General features: G+C 39.4%; 1 pseudogene, besides 2 other annotated features; it reads right to left on the bottom strand.

The window, feature by feature from the left end:
- Positions 3,402 to 4,601: an enhancer, noted in NCBI's record as "P300/CBP strongly-dependent group 1 enhancer chr3:122387501-122388700 (GRCh37/hg19 assembly coordinates)". NCBI's record gives its function as "activates an origin of replication core promoter dependent on BRD2, BRD4, P300/CBP, MED14 and CDK7 cofactors, with strong dependence on P300/CBP, by STARR-seq in HCT116 cells {active_cell/tissue: HCT116}" and the evidence as "EXISTENCE:reporter gene assay evidence [ECO:0000049][PMID:35650434]".
- Positions 3,927 to 3,976: an enhancer, noted in NCBI's record as "active region_20381". NCBI's record gives its function as "activates an Ori minimal core promoter by ATAC-STARR-seq in GM12878 lymphoblastoid cells {active_cell/tissue: GM12878}" and the evidence as "EXISTENCE:reporter gene assay evidence [ECO:0000049][PMID:35858748]".
- Positions 11,135 to 12,668, bottom strand: EIF4BP8 (eukaryotic translation initiation factor 4B pseudogene 8; annotated as a pseudogene).

Raw genomic sequence — 16,823 nt, 5'->3', positions numbered from 1 at the left:
CATTCTTTCTGCTGTATTCTCATTGCCCTAATGTCCATTTTGTCTTATATTAACATTTCTATGACCACTTTACTAGATCTTGCCAAGTGGGGCAGATACTTCGAGTAGATTGATTACTTACTCTAAGATACTCTTTTTTTCCTTGCTAGGGGAATTTCAATTTTTTTTAGATACTAAGTAGCAAAGTGTTTAGCTAAAATAGATGTTCTTTTGACCCACACCTGACTGATGCTTGGGCTAAGCCAGTTTTAATAATCTAATTCCCTTCTAGTGGGATTGGTTTAGGGATGACCATGTGAGCCAGTTCTAGGCAGAAATATAAAGGGAAGTCCATTGTCTGCTCCTGGAAAACACTTTCTTCCTCCATAAATAGAGACATGTGAGAAGAAATCATTTTTCTCCTTCTTTTTTTTAAAAAAAAATGTTATCAAGTAGGATGTGACCAGCCATTTTGTAACTTTGAAGGCCAATCTCTCAGAAATCTACAAAATGCCTGGATATTTGATGGCACCATTGAGCTATAGAACCAACCTTAGAACACCTACCTCAAAATTTCTTGTGAAGTGAGTCAATATACATCCCTGTTATTTAAGCCTGTTTTAGTTAGTTATTCCGTTGCCTATTGCCAAAAGCATTCTCTCTGATACACCTGAAAAACTTTTTCATCCCTTTTCTGTCAAATTTTCTATGTCTTTAGTTTAGGTAAGTCTCTTGCTAACAGAATACGGCTGGATTATTTTAAATCCAATCTGTCTTTTAATTGGCAAACATAAATTTCTAGATATTATAAATGACTGGTATAGTTAGACTTATTCCCACTATTTTATTTGTGGGTTTTTAAATAAACTACCTTCTTCCTTGCTTATTTTTCTTCATTTCTTAGATTAGATTGATAGTTTGATATTATTAGATTGATATCAAATATTAGATTATAGTTTTTATTAGATTGATAGTTTTTCTTTATTCCCTTTTTCCTTCTCTATTTTGATTGAATTTCTGTATCTATTCTTTTGCGGAGTTTAGACTAAACAAAGTATAAAGCTAGTCAATACATCTCAAAAGACACAAAGACCTGAGAAAAACTTGCCCCCTATTTTGCTATCCTTTTGCTGTTGTTAACTGTTTTTTAACACTCCAAAATTAGTCTTTTCAGAATTAGTCAATATTTATTTAGCAATATGTTTAACAATTAACAATTATTTTGTTCTAAAGCACTCTTTTTTCTTCCTCATTCAATCTTCTTTTTCCTAAAGTAGATACTTATTATTTGCAGTTCTTTCTGTAAGAGCTCATGAATGATGAGCTTTCTCAATCTATTGGTCTGAAAATGTCTTTAATTTTAATAATTTTTATTTTGAAATAATTTTGACCTCACAGAAAAGTTGCAAGACTAGTATAGAGAATTTTTTATTTCCTGAACAATTTGAAAGTAAATAGCTGACATAATACCCCATCACCCTGAGTATGTTGGAATAGGACATCGCAAAATATGGCATGCTGCCAGTCAGAATGGCTATTAAGAAGTAAAAAAATAACAGATACTGGAGAGGTTACGGAGAAAAGGGAACACTTATACACTACTGGTGGGAATGTAAATTAGTTCAACCATTATGGAAAGCAGTGTGGTGATTACTCAAAGAGTCAACAGAACTACCATTTAACCCAGGAATCCCATTATTGGGGTATATCCCCAAAGGAATAGAAATCATTCTACCATAAAGACACATGCACGTATATGTTCATTGCAGCACTATTCACAATAGCAAAGATATGGAATTAACCTACATGTCCATCAATGACAGATTGGATAAGGAAAATATGGTACATATACACCATAGAATACTATGCAGCCATAAAAAAGAACAAGATATATATGTGTGTGTGTGTGTGTGTGTGTGTGTGTGTGTGTGTGTGTGTATGTGTGTGTATCATGCTGGCCAAATCCAGCATACTACTTGTTTATGTAAATAAAGTTTCATTACTTCCCTAACTTGAGCCTGGAATCACTCATTATTCCAATTAGTGCTGTGTTCATCGATTTTAAAGTGTTACTGTCTCAGGCTTTCTCAGTGGACAGTGCTAGGGAATACATGTGTACACACACAAGTGCATTTTTTATTTCTCTCTGTCTTTATATCTATATATCTATATACTTACAAAATGATGAGTTTATACTGATACCTCCAGTTCCAAGCCAACACTACAAAGTTCATTCTGGTTTTTTTCCTTTGCATATTTGTAACTCCTTTCTCCAATAGTGAGAAATCTGCCTTCCATTATCCCCAATATATTTACTTATTGGGTCAATCCCTTCTACATAACTGTGTTGGATTCGATATAACTGTGCAATATCCTGTGTTGGTTACATACCAATCTCCTGTTGCTACCACCATATCCCCATGCAGCCACCCTCCTCACATTGCTCAGGCATTCCTGGAACTAACCCAACTTGAACATAATGTTATATATAAACAATATATAAATAATATATATTATTATGTTATATGTAATATATATTATTTATAAATAATATATATTATGTTATATGTAATATATATTATATATAAATAATATATATTATGTTATATGTAATATATATTATATATAAATAATATATATTATTATGTTATATGTAATATATATTATATATAAATAATATATATTATTATGTTATATGTAATATATATTATATATAATATATATTATTATGTTATATGTAATATATATTATATATAATATATATTATTATGTTATATGTAATATATATTATATATAATATATATTATTATGTTATATGTAATATATATTATATATAAATAATATACATAATAAACATTATGTTTATGAATAAACATAAACGGAATAAACATTCCCTGGGAAAGGCTGACATTTTAAAGCATCTTTTAATGCCACTGAACGGAAGGCTGGTCAGTGGCTGGGAATAAGTGCCATCTGCTCAATCCATGTGTTTTCCACAGCCTAACCATGAACACCTTGAAGAAAGCAGTAGCGTCCTTCCTCCTTGCAGCCTCAAATTCAGAGTATTTGGACGTTGCATCTATCATCCGCCAAAAAGTGCAATCTTATGAGCTATTCCACGTACAATCAAGTAGTAGATATCTCAAAGCCCTTACATACAAAAAAAATTTGCTCTGAGGAAGAGATTTGGAAGATCTTTTCTGTTTCTAAAAATCGGTCATAAGCCTGAATTAAAATAAATTAAATCCCTATCCTACGTATCAACTTCTTCCCTAAATCCCATAATCTCTTAGTCATTTAAAGGCATGAATATGAAAGAAATTTCAGTATAAATGACTCCCTTTTTATAGTAGGCAATGTAGCTAACTTAAAACAATTTTTTTCATATACAGCAGGAGGTGAGAACATTATTCCAGTTATCTTTTCCTGCTTAACAATCCTCCCCCAAATTTAGTGGTATTATCCCTCAAGATTCTGGGGGTAGACTGGGCTAAACTAGACAATTCTTTCTCAAGAATTGAGAAAATTGTAATCAGACTGTGGCTGAGGCTGGAGGCATCTCGAAGCCTACTTACTCACACATCTGGTACCCAGCCTAGGATAACTCAAAAAACTGGGGGCTGGACCCTCTGGAGCTCCTCTGGTATCTCTATCAATATGTGGGCTCACCACATGGTTTCTCCAGCATGGTGGCTTCAGAGTAGGTGAACTTTCAACTTGGTGACTCAGCTCCTAAGGCATGTTGAGAGAGAGCAAGAGAGAGTCGAAAGCTCTATTACTTTTTATGACTTGGCCCTTAGAAGTTATAGTTTCACTTCTCAAGCATTCTATTGATTAGAAGTGAGTCATAGCCTGAACAACATAGCTAGACCCTGCCTAACAAAAAACATTTTTTAAAAATTAACTGAGCATGGTGGTGTGCACCTGTAGTCCTAGCTACTTAACAGGCTGAGGCAGGAGGATCACTTGAGGCCAGGAGTTCAAGGCTGCAGTGAGCTATGATGGCACCACTGCACTCGAGAGAGAGACCCCATCTCTAAAAAATGAAGTGAGTCACTAAGTCAAGTTCATAGTCAGGTAGAAGAGAAACAGATTCCACATCCTCACTGGAGGGGTGTTTAAGAATTTGCAGACATTTGCCTCTCTGTTCCGAGATGGCTGAATAGGAACAGCTACAGTCTGCAGCATCCAGCGTGATAAACACAGAAGATGGTGATTTCTGCATTTCCAGCTGAGGTACGTAGTTCATCTCACTGGGACTGGTTGGACAGTGGGTGCAGCCCACGGAGGGCGAGCCAAAGCAGGGTGGGGCATCACCTCACCAGGGAAGCACAAGGGGTTGGGGGATGTCCCTTTCATAGGCAAGGGAAGCCATGACAGACTGTACCTAGATAATCAGGATGCTGGCACCCAAATACTGTGCATTTCCAACGGTGTTAGCAAATGGAACACCAGGAGAGTATATCCCGCACCTGGCTCGACAGGTCCCATGCCCACAGAGCCTTGCTCACTGCTAGTGCAGAGACTGAGATCAACCTGCGAGGCAGCAGCCTAGCAGGGGGAGGGACGTCCATCATTGCTGAGGCTTGAGTAGGTAAACAAAATGGCCAGGAAGCTCAAACTGGGCAGAGCCCACCACAGCTCTGCAAGGCCTGCTGCCTCCGTAGACCCCACCTCCGGGCAGGGCATAGCTGAACAAAAGGCAGCAGAAACTTTTGCAGACTTAAACGTCCCTGTCTGACAGCTCTGAAGAGAGCAGTGCTTTTCCAAGCAGGTTGTTTGAGCTCTGAGAACGGACAGACTGCCTCTTCAAGTGGGTCCCTGACCCTCGTGTAGCCTAACTGGGAGACACCTCCCAGTATGGGCTGACTGACACCACATACAGGCGGGTGCCGTATGTAGAAAGTTAAAACTGGATCCCTTCCTTACACCTTATACAAAAGTTAATTCAAGATGGATTAAAGACTTAAATGTTAGACCTAAAACCATAAAAACCCTAGAAGAAAACCTAGGCAATACCATTCAGGACATAGGCATGGGCAAGGACTTCATGTCTAAAACACCAAAAGCAATGGCAACAAAAGCCAAAATAGACAAATGGGATCTAATTAAACTAAAGAACTTCTGCACAGCAAAAGAACCACTATCAGAATGAGCAGGCAACCTACAGAATGGGAGAAAATTTTTGTAATCTACCCATCTGACACAGGGCTAGTAACAAGAATCTACAAAGAACTCAAACAAATTTACAAGAAAAACACAAACAACCCCATCAAAAAGTGGCCAAAGATATGAACAGACACTTCTCAAAAGAAGACATTTATGCAGCCAACAGACAATTGAAAAAATGCTCATCATCACTGGTCATCAGAGAAACACAAATCAAAACCACAATGAGATACCATCTCACACCAGTTAGAATGGCAATCATTAAAAAGGCAAGAAACAACAGTTGCTGGAGAGGATGTGGAGAAATAGGAAAGCTTTTACACTTCTGGTGGGAGTGTAAATTAGTTCAACCATTGTGGAAGACAGTGTGGCGATTCCTCAAGGATCTAGAACTAGAAATACCATTTGACCCAGCGATCCCATTACTGTGTATATACCCAAAGGATTATAAATCATGCTACTATAAAGACACATGCACATGTGTGTTTATTGTGGCACTATTCACAATAGCAAAAACTTGGAACCAACCCAAATGTCCATCAATGATAGACTGGATTAAGAAAATGTGGCACATATATACCATGGAGTACTATGCAGCCATAAAAAAGGATGAGTTTATGTCCTTTTCAGGGACATGGATGAAGCTGGAAACCATCATTCTGAGCAAACTATCACAAGGACAGAAAACCAAACACCGCATGTTGTCACTCATAGGTGGGAATTGAACAATGAGAACACTTGGACACAGGGTGGGGAACATCACAAGTGGGGGCCTGTCGTGGGGTGGGGGGCAGGGGGAGGGATAGTATTAGGAGAACTATCTAATGTAAATGATGAGTTAATGGGTTCAGCAAACCAACATGGCACATGTATACCTATGTAACAAACCTGCATGTTGTGCACATGTACCCTAGAACTTAAAGTATAATAAAATAATAATAATAATAATAATAATTTGCAGACATTTTTCTTTTCATTTTTTATTTTTTTGAGACAGGGTCTCACTTTCTTGCCCAGGCTGGAGTGCAGTGACTCAATCATGGCTCACTGCAGCCACTACCTCCTGTGCTCAAGTAATCCTCCCATCTCAGCCCTGAGTAGCTGAGACTATAGGCACATGCCAGCACACTTGGTTAATTTTTAAATTTTTTTTATAAAGATGGAGTCTTGCTGTGTTGCCTAGGCTGGTCTTGAACTCCAGGGCTCAAGTGATCCTCCTGCTTCAGTGCAGACATTTTTTAAACCACATATACTCCAAGTCTTTTCCTTTGGATTTGAAAAGTGATTGCGCTTCCTTTGTTTTTTGGCAGGTGTTGCATCCTGGCCAAGTGATCTGAGTTTCCATACATATTCTAGAAAACAGTAGTTAATTACAAGAGCTAACATTTATTGAGGGCTTGCTAAATGTCAATCATTATTCTAAGTCCCTAAGTTCTCTATCCTGTTTGAATTGTATTTCACTTGATATCTAAATAAAATGTCCGAAATCCCCATTCAGTGCGCTGTGGAAAGGCCGAGAGCTCTCTGCAATATCTGTTTTCAGGGGCCTACATTTTTCCAGAGAAAGTGCGCAACTAAATCTGCTTCATGGCTCCTGCCTCTGTGGTCCTGTTTTCACACTGCTTCTACTCTAGAAATACTACCCCCATTTCTTACCCCCAAATTATCACTAACATACTTACTGAAAATTAATTACATCTCAATGTAGAAATCAACTCCCAGGTCAAAGTTCACACATAACTATTTCTAGGAATTAATTTATCAGGCAATTCCTGCCCAAACCATTTAACAGTTAACATGGAAAGGTCCTCTCCGACTCCCTCGCTTGAGATCAGAAGTCACAAGTTGGTGTCCACCAAACTGAAGCCTGCCTGAGACCTGCTTTTGAAAAATTCAAATTAGATGCTAACATTTTAAAAGTGAGTCTTCATATAAAACCTCAGATTTACAGCTTATTTGGGGAAAAACAAACAAACAAAAAAACAGATGGTTTGCCATCAGCTGCAACCAAGGGTCCTGGCTCCAGTTCAGTAAAATTTCCATTTGGCTCACTTTGCTCATTGGCATCCCAGCCCCTCTAGACATTTGGGTTTGCAATGCCTTGCCCTAAGATCCACCTCTTCTGATCACCCCCTTCCCCATGTTCCCAGGCCCCTACTGCTTCTCTTTAAGCCACCTATACAAACTCAAAATCCCTCACTTTATTATACTAAATAATTTAACTTTCTTTAAGTATCTTGCATACACATCTAGTTACCTAGCCCAGGTTTGACCGCAAACTTTTCCCTTAAAGAGCGAGAGAGTAAATAGTTTAGGTTATGTAGGCCATATGGTCTCTGTTGCAACTACTCAATTCTGCCATCCAAGACCAGAAGCAGCTGTTAGGGAAATATAATTAAAAGCCAAATCTCCTGCTGACCCGGAAAACCTCTACACAAGGCAGAAGAGAAAGAAAATAGTATATTATTGAATAAGCATTAAACCAGAATGTGATGCTTATCACAGGTAATCCACTAAAAAGATTTCAAAGATAGAAAGAAATCTCACCTTTTTACGTAGTCCAGTAGATACACCCCATTACACACATGTTCTCAGTTGATAACTAGCCCTCAAGTAAGAGGATTTGACAATACCATTTGTCACACATAGGTCATCCTAAACCACCCAGTAATTGGGATGGCCATCTGTGTTAGCTAATTGTCTTTATCCAAAGAAATAATAAAATTTCTCATAGTTCTATGACAAGTAGGTAGTTATGATTTGGAGCCAGATGCCAGCTGAAGTCAGGCTCCTGCCCTCCCGTGGAAACCGGGAGATGGGGCACCATCCTCCTTGATGATTACATTTCAAAGAGATGGCTCCCAGGTCCTTGAGAAAACACTCCTGGGTTGTAAAACTGGCAAGAGGCTTTAAAAAAAAAATGCCTTCAAAAGAGATTTTTATACATCTCAAAAAGGCAGAAAGAAAATTAACAATTACAAATTTTCAAAAATAAAAATGGGAGGAGAGTTTCCTCTTGTGCACCTGAGAGAATTAGATTTTTAATTTTGATTCATATTCACCCATATGCAGCCATAGAATGTACATAAACAAGTGAGTATGGCTGTACTTCAGTACAACTCTGTTATGGACACAGAAATTAAATTTCCTTTTTTTCTTTTCTTTTCTTTTTCTTTTTCTTTTTTCTTTTTTTTTTTTTTTGGTTTTTGGTTTTTGTTTTTTGAGGCAGAGTCTCACTCTGTCACCCAGGCTGGAGTACAGTGGCACCATCTTGGCTCACTGCAACCTCCGCCTCCCGGGTTCAAGAAATTCTCCTGTCTCAGCCTCCCAAGTAGCTGGGACCACAGGCTCATGCTACCACATCCAGCTAATTTTTGTATTTTTAGTAGAAATGGGGTTTTTGCCATGTTGGCCAGGCTGGTCTCATACTCCTGAACTCAGGCGATCTACCTGCCTCAGCCTCCCAAAGTGCTAGGATTACAGGTGTGAGCCACCACGCCTGGCCTGGCCTTTTATCTTTCTATCAGAATATAGATTCAACAAAGTCCCTATAACTAAACAGAAACACAGTCATCTGTCCATCTGTGCAGTTTAGGAAGGCAGCAAAAAACTGTATTTTTATAAGCCAATTCAGTGTCCTACAAAGACAATCTCATCATAGCAATATTAAAGTTTTTAAAAAATCTATTTTTTTAAGATCAGATTTTTTTGGAGGAAACAAAAAACTCACAACCCAAAGGATGGGATTTTACATCTCAGGACATCTCCCACATAATAAGTCTATAGATTATAAATCATTTTCAAATTTTACATGTATTTAGGAGAGGGACATTAATCAATCCCCATTTCTATTTTAACAGGGGGGCAAGGTAGGGGAGAGGGAAAAACAGTTTGGTATCTATTTGGAGGGAGAGTAGACATGAAGAGGGCAAACCCTAGCTTCTCATTATCTACAATCAATGTTTTTTTTTTCTTAAAAAAAAGCTTTCAATCTCTCTTTAAAAGCCTACTTCTTAGCTACTAGCCAGTCCACCCTAATTATTTAAATTCATTTGGTACACACTTTTGTTCACTGGGCAAATTATATTCATTATGCCCACTGCTGCAGCACGCATAAACCAACACCCCTGCATGGCTGAGCAGGGCCTAATCTAGGACTGACAGGAGAAGTGCTTGCAAACCAAGATCAAGGTGTCATTTCTCTGCTAATACTGTCTACCAAGCTGATCCCTACAAAAATGCACATAAAAGCAGGCAAGTTTAGCTACTGTGTTGCAAGAGAAACCAGGACCTTGTTAAATAGTTCTCTCCATTACCATTTATTCTCTCAAGGGAGACTTAAAAAAAAGAAAAGAAAAAGAAAAAACAACCCATTGGTCTGGCCACCTCATAAATCCAACAACCATTGGTGTGTCATTTCAGTGGAGAAGGAAACTTGGGGGGAAAAAACCATCGAGGTTGTGAGAAAGGCTCCCAATTTAACTGTCCCTGTCCCTATTTATCCACCTTTATTCACCACCCAAGACCATCCATTACCCTAGAGCACCCTGATCTATAAAAGGGGTCAAACCATTAGGAGTAGGCAACGAGTGAGAACCAAAAGACATCAAGAAACCGATTTGCTTGAGAAAAGCAGCGATTCTGCCTTTCACTCCTCTCCATGGCTGAGAGAAAATGCCCAAGAGATCATCTATGTGACTTAGAGACTGCTTTTTGGGAGGTTAAGAGTAGCATGAAGAGCTTAAGATGACGACAAGAGTCTAAATTTTTAAAGTTTCAAGGTTTCAACAGAATGTGGATATATTCGAACTTTCAAAAAGGACAGTGTTTAAAAAGGGTAAAACCAGGACACACAAACATTGGGAATTATCATGACCCCCAAGTGCTTCTGGCTCCGGGAAATAACCATTCTTGTGTTTGCTGGAGGTCGCACAATTTTCCCCTATTACCTGATACAAAATGACTCATTACCTCCCAAAAGCTTCTTTTCAAACCACAATTTTCCCATTTATCTTGGTCCAATGCAGTCCTATTCTTTATGGCCTATAGACTCACCCCGAACTACCCCCTTGGAGGGTAAAAAAAAAAAAAAAAAAGAATGAAAGAATTCCCTCTAGGCTGGCCCCTAAAACTCAGAATTAAATAACAGGAGGGGCTGGGAGCCTCCTGAAGACTAAAACAACTTGAGGCTAAATCTACCTTTCCAAGAGTGAAAAATTTATTTAGATGTTTGAGAATTCATATATGCCACAATAGGGTAAAAAATAAAAAGTAGAAATCTCACACTTTTCCTTATACTTCCTTCCCCTACTGTCCAACCAGATTCCAGACCTTATCTCACTGTCATTACCATTTCCACTAAATGGAGGCTCCTAGGTATTAATCACTCTGGCAACTGCATGGTGACAAAACGCACCACAACTTTTCCACTAAAAAGCTGTAGTCTCTTTCTCTCTGGCTATATTGGCGATTCTCCAGTTACTTCAATACTCTAAAGGCTGCAGCAGCATGCAAAAGAATTTCACTTAAAAAAAAAAAAAAGAAAGGTAAGAAAAGTCTCCAGGAGATGGTGAGTTTTATTTTGTCTTGTCTGGATAGAAGTTTGATTTGCTCTCGAACGTTCCAGGGTGGAGAGAAACTAGGAGAAAGCACAGGATGTCTAGGTCCACTCGGCATAATCTTCTCCCTTGTTTTCATCTTCACCAGAAACGGAGACAGCAGCATACTTGCTTGCAGAACTGAACTTGGAAGCTGGATTTTCCTCAGGTTTCTTTGGCTCAGGTGCAGATCTGGAGTCTTGATCCTTTTTGCCATCTTTCCTATCTGACTCCTTTCAGTGGTCTTTGTTCCCTCCATCTCCTGGACCACAGCTAGAGTTCCCAGTTTGACCTTTTGGGACTTTCATCCCATCCACTTTATTTTCATCTTTCTTTGCTGGTCCTTCCTCAGATGATCGAGCTGGAGCTACTTTTCCCCCACCACTTGTAGGGGATTGCTGCTCTGTGTCTGAGCTCTGAGATGGAGCAGGAGCGTTAGAACTTCACTTCACCGAAGCATTCTCCTTTGGTGGAGGGGCTGGCATTACCTTTGGGTCTGGTAGGATCAGGTTTGAGACGTTTAGAAGTTGGAGAGTGACAATCTTCCTCCTTATTGAGTGTTTCATTTTCTAGAGACTTCTCACTCTCTCTCCTTCGTGCATTTCTGCTGGGTATGGCGGAGGTCTCAGTCTGCGATGACTCACTTCCTGTCCGCGACCGTTCCATTCTTGAGTTTCTTCACTTTGCCAGCTTGGGTGTCTCTCCCGAGGCCGTCGTTCTAGTTATGGCTCATCCAGCTGACGCTGCAACTTCTCTTGTTCTGTAGCATTTCTTCTACTTCTCTTTCTCTACCAGCTGTGTCAACCGGCTTTGCCCCTCCAAAGATAGAAGCAGCTCGACTGGACTGGGAGGTACTAGCAGAGGAATCATCTTCCTTGGGAGTACTCCAAAGCTTTAGATTCAGTTTGGGTCTTTGCGGGGACCTCTATCATCACACCTATAATCATCCCAAGTGTAATCATCTCTGGAGCTCCACGACCGATCATCCCGTCTGTTGTATCGGTCTTCAGAGCGGTCCCTGCCTCCTCTGTAGTCATTATCCCTGCGGTACCCACTACCAAATGCTCTTCTGCCATTGCCTATCTGGGAATCATAGCCTCTATCATAGTGTCTGCTGCCTGGGTCATCATAGCAATCCTGGCCGCCATATCGATCCATATCCCAGCGTGGGCCATCCTGATACCCCTCCCGATACCCACCGCGATACCGGTCTGAATCATAACGATCTTGATACTTGTCTCCAAAGCAATCATCACCTCTTCTAGGCGAGTAGTCATCCAAGCTGTCTGTGACAGGACGAGCCCTCCAGTCTGTATTTGTTTTGTCAAAATCCCGATTTCTCTCATGGCCAAAAGAACGATCGTCCCTGTCTTTATCCTGTGCTCGGTCAGCAACGTCCACTCGAATTCTCCTGTTACCTAGAGATTCTTTATTGAGACTCAGGGCACTGAACAGGGAATCCAGGTCGTCAAATTCAGCATAACCAAAACCTTTCAACCTCTCTGGATTGCTGGGTTCACGTGGTAAACACACTGCACTGATATTTAATCCTCTAAATAATTCCTTAATTGACTCTTCTGTCACGTCATAGGGTAGGTTCCCTAGAAAAGCAGTGTAGGGTGGCGATTTGGGAAGACCGCTCCGGTCGATAATGGGTTCCCTAGCAGCCCGTGGAGCAGTGGGAAGGATGGAACGGTCAACTGGGGGCGCCCTATACACATCGTCATCGTTACTGTGCCAAGCTGAAACATCTCCTTCAGGTCATCCGTTTCATCAACCCAGCTGACTGGTTTGGATACATAGCTACTTCCTCCACCAGTCCGCCATCCTCAGCCAGAAAGTCTGTTAGGGAGATAGTCTTCCCCTTCTTATTCTTCTTTTTCGCTGAGGCAGCCATGTTGGGAGAGGGAAAGAGAACGCAAAGGGAAATCTAATGTCTTAACAACTTGACAGAATAATTCACTGCAAGTCTGTTGATCTTAACCCAGCTAGAAACATTTCCTAGGTGTGTCCTTTTCTCACTTTGCTTATGTATATTCATGGTTCTGTTATAGTCATAATGGGTGTGTATGTTCAATTTGGTATTCTTCCTTTTATGTAACATGATTTATCCAAATATTTTCTATTTCCTATAGCACCTTCATATTCATCATTTTTAGTATATCACTAGAGTATATCATTTTGATATGCCATAGTTAGCTTCTTTCTGTATATCTGTATTGTTGGGCTCTTAGCTTTATTCCAATGTTTGCCATCATAAAATAAACATTATATATACATACACTTTTTATTAAACATCATTTCCTCAGGATAAATTCTATTACTTGGTCAGGGGTTAGGCATATTTATGATTCTTTCAATAAAGTACCATTTTGCCCTTCAGGAAGACTGAATCAGTTTACGCTGCTTTCATTAATGCATGAGCATATCTGCTTCCCGAAGCCTTGCAGGCTTTGGCTTTTACAACTTTTTAAAAGTTTTTCTAAATTTTTTTAAGGCACAAAATGAAACTTCACCGTAGGTTTAATTTGCAGTTATTTTACCAACAAGGTTGACTGAATAGTTTTAAAATTATGATTTACTGACAGTGTTTCTTGTTGTATGAACTGTTTTTTAATCATTTGTTTAATAGTTGGTAATTTTACCTATTTATATGCACTCTTTATACTTTTTAGTTATTGAACTTTGTCTTCATTTGCAAACTTTTTCTCCAGTCTTCTGAATTTTTAAATTTCAGCTTTATTGGTATTCATTCCACCAAAGATAAAGCTATCTAAGTCATGAACCTGTCCGTCTTTTTTTCATTTATATTCCATCGACAGTCAAAAAGTGATTTCCCCTAGTGCTAGTCTTTTACATATGTGTATTTGTTTTTTTAAATGTATTTAACTCCCAATCTACCTGGATTTTTTTTTTCAGAGTGTAGTGCAAAGTGTGGGTCTTTTAAATATTCTCATTATTGATATTCCTGTACACCAAGTGTTTCAAATTTGTTACCAGTACATTAAATGTCTGCTAGGACAAATTCTTCTCATCACTCTTTTTGAATCTGAAATGCTCTTTGATGTACTTGCTCATTTATTTTCTCCACATACAATAAAAATTATATTAATTTTATAAAGCATCTTGCTTCTAATTGGTGACTTGTATCTAATTCTAATTTAGAATTAATTAAATCTAACCCTGAATCCTCTATGCACTGTGGTGAGTTGAGGCTGAGTTGTGTCCTTCGTAAGGCTCAGCCTGCATTGATTTTACTCCTGCTTCTTCAGGATTTTCAGCAGAAATCCTAGTGTATTCTCCATGCTCTTCCACCTGGTGGGCCAAGAATTCTAATCTTTGTCTTTACAAGACTGCCGAAGGCTCTGTTCTGCTTCAGAAGTTTTCTGCTTCTCTTTTTAGACTCCAGCCTCATGCACCCCTGTAATTTAACAGATGTTCTCTGGAGACCTTCCAAATCTCCTCCCATATCCCTCCTGGCCTCTGCCTCCCAGCAGTGGCCTTCCTTGGGTGCAAGGCCTGGGGTTATCAGTCTCCTCCCCAAGCACAGAATCAGCAGATGACCCCTAGGCACAGTGGCTGCAGAACTCAGCTCTCCCTAGCTGTGATTCTCCCTCTCTGGAGTTTTGGCTCCTTCAGTTATTGCTAACTCAGAAGCCCTTTTCTGCCTTAAAATAGATGCCTCCTCTATTTTGTTCTAATTTTCTGCTTATTTTAGGTGAGAACACATTCTGTCACTAGCTAATTCATCCCACTTGGAAACATAGGTTTATTTCACCTTAAACATTTTTCTTCTACCTTCTTATATTTTAAAACCAAAAAATCTTATTTCTGTTTGACATATTCCTCAGAAAAGCCTATCCTGACTTCTCAGACTCAGTTAAGCAGTACATTTTATATCACTCTCTACCTCTTTTTAAATATTTATTGCAATTTTAATTAATTCTGTAATTTATTTTTTAATTATTTTATTTTATTTTATTTTATTTATTTTATTTTGTTTTATTTTATTTTATTTTATTTTATTTGAGACAGAGTCTTGTTCTGTCACCCAGGCTGGAGTGCAATGGTGTGATCTTGGCTCATTGCAACCTCCGCCTCCCAGGTTCAAGCGATTCTCCTCCCTCAGCCTCCTGAGTAGCTGAGATTACAGACACCATTACGCCCGGGAATTTTTTGTATTTTTCATAGAGATGGGGTTTCACCATGTTGACCAGGCTGGTCTCGAATTCCTGACCTCAAGTGATCCACCCGCCTTGCCTCCCAAAGTGCTGGGATTACAGGCATAAGCCACTGCGAACTGTAATTTATTTATTTATTTTTAGAGACGGTGTCTCACTCTGTTGCCCAGGCTGGAGTAGAGTGGTGCAATCACGGCTCACTGCAGCCTTGCTCAACCTCCTGAGCTCAAGCAATCCTCCCACCTCAGCCTCCTAAGTAGCTGGGACTGCAGGCATGCACCACCACGCTCAGGTAATTTTTGTATTTTTTGTAGAGACAGTGTTCTGCCATGTTGCCCAGGCTGGTCTCAAACTCCTGGGCTCAAGTGATCTACCTGCCCACTCCTCCCAAAATGCTGGGATTACAGGTGTGAACCACTATGCCCAGCCTGTAATTTATTTATATAATCTCAACACGCCCTGTTGGTTCTGTTTCTCTAGAGAACCCTGACCAATACAATTATTTAGTATCAGGCCAAGTTAAAGGTTTTTTTTTTGTTTTGTTTTTATTTTTTATTATACTTTAAGTTCTAGGGTACATGGGCACAGTGTGCAGGTTTGATACATAGGTATACACGTACCATGTTGGTTTGCTGAACCCATCAATTCCTCATTTACATTAGGTATTTCTCCTAATGCTATCTCTCCCCCAGCCTCCCACCACCTGACAGGCCCCGGTGTGTGATGTTCCCCACCCTGTGTCCAAGTGTTCTCATTGTTCAATTCCCACCTATGAGTGAGAACATGCGGTGCTTGATTTTCTGTCCTTGTGATAGTTTGCTCAGAATGATGGTTTCCAGCTTCATCCACATCCCTGCCAAGGACATGAACTCATCCTTTTTTATGGCTGCATAGTACTCCATGGTGTATATGTGCCACATTTTCTTAATCCAGTCTATCATTGATGGACATTTGGGTTGGTTCCAAGTCTTTGCTATTGTGAATAGTGCCACAATAAACATACGTGTGCATGATTTACAATCCTTTGGGTATATACCCAGTAATGGGATCGCTGGGTCAAATGGTATTTCTAGTTCTAGACCCTTGAGGAATCACCACACTGTCTTCCACAATGGTTGAATTAGTTTACACTCCCACCAACAGTGTAAAAGCGTTCCTATTTCTCCACATCCTCTCCAGCATCTGTTGTTTACTGCCTTCTTAATGATCGCCATTCTAACTGGTGTGAGATGGTATCTCATTGTGGTTTTGATTTGGATTTCTCTGATGACCAGTGATGATGAGCATTTTTTCATTTGTCTGTTGGCTGCATTAATGTCTTCTTTTGAGAAGTGTCTGTTCATATCCTTTGCCCACTTTTTGATGGGGTTGTTTTTTTCTTGTAAATTTGTTTGAGTTCTTTGTAGATTCTGGATATTAGCCCTTTGTCAGATAGGTAGATTGCAAAAATTTTTTCCCATTCTGTAGGTTGCCTATTCACTCTGATGGTAGTTTCTTTTGCTGTGCAGAAGCCCTTTCATTTAATTAGATACCATTTATCTATTTTGGCTTTTGTTGCCATTGCTTTTGGTGTTTTAGTCATGAAGTCCTTGCCCATGCCTATGTCCTGAATGGTATTGCCTAGGTTTTCTTCTAGGGTTTTTATGATTTTAGGTCTAACATTTAAGTCTTTAAACAATTTTGAATTAATTTTTGTATAAGGTGTAAGGAAGGGATGCAGTTTCATCTTTCTGCATATGGCTAGCCAGTTTTCCCAGCACCATTTATTATACAGGGAATCCTTTCTCCATTTCTTGTTTTTGTCAGGTTTGTCAAAGATCAGATGGTTGTAGACGTGTGGTGTTATTTCTGAGGCCTCTGTTCTGTTCCATCTGTCTATATCTCTGTTTCGGTACCA

Source organism: Homo sapiens, chromosome 3 (assembly GCF_000001405.40).
Source record: "Homo sapiens chromosome 3, GRCh38.p14 Primary Assembly".
NCBI lineage: Eukaryota > Metazoa > Chordata > Mammalia > Primates > Hominidae > Homo > Homo sapiens.
Note: the sequence above shows the minus strand (reverse complement) of the source record. Positions and strands in the feature narration are given on the sequence as shown.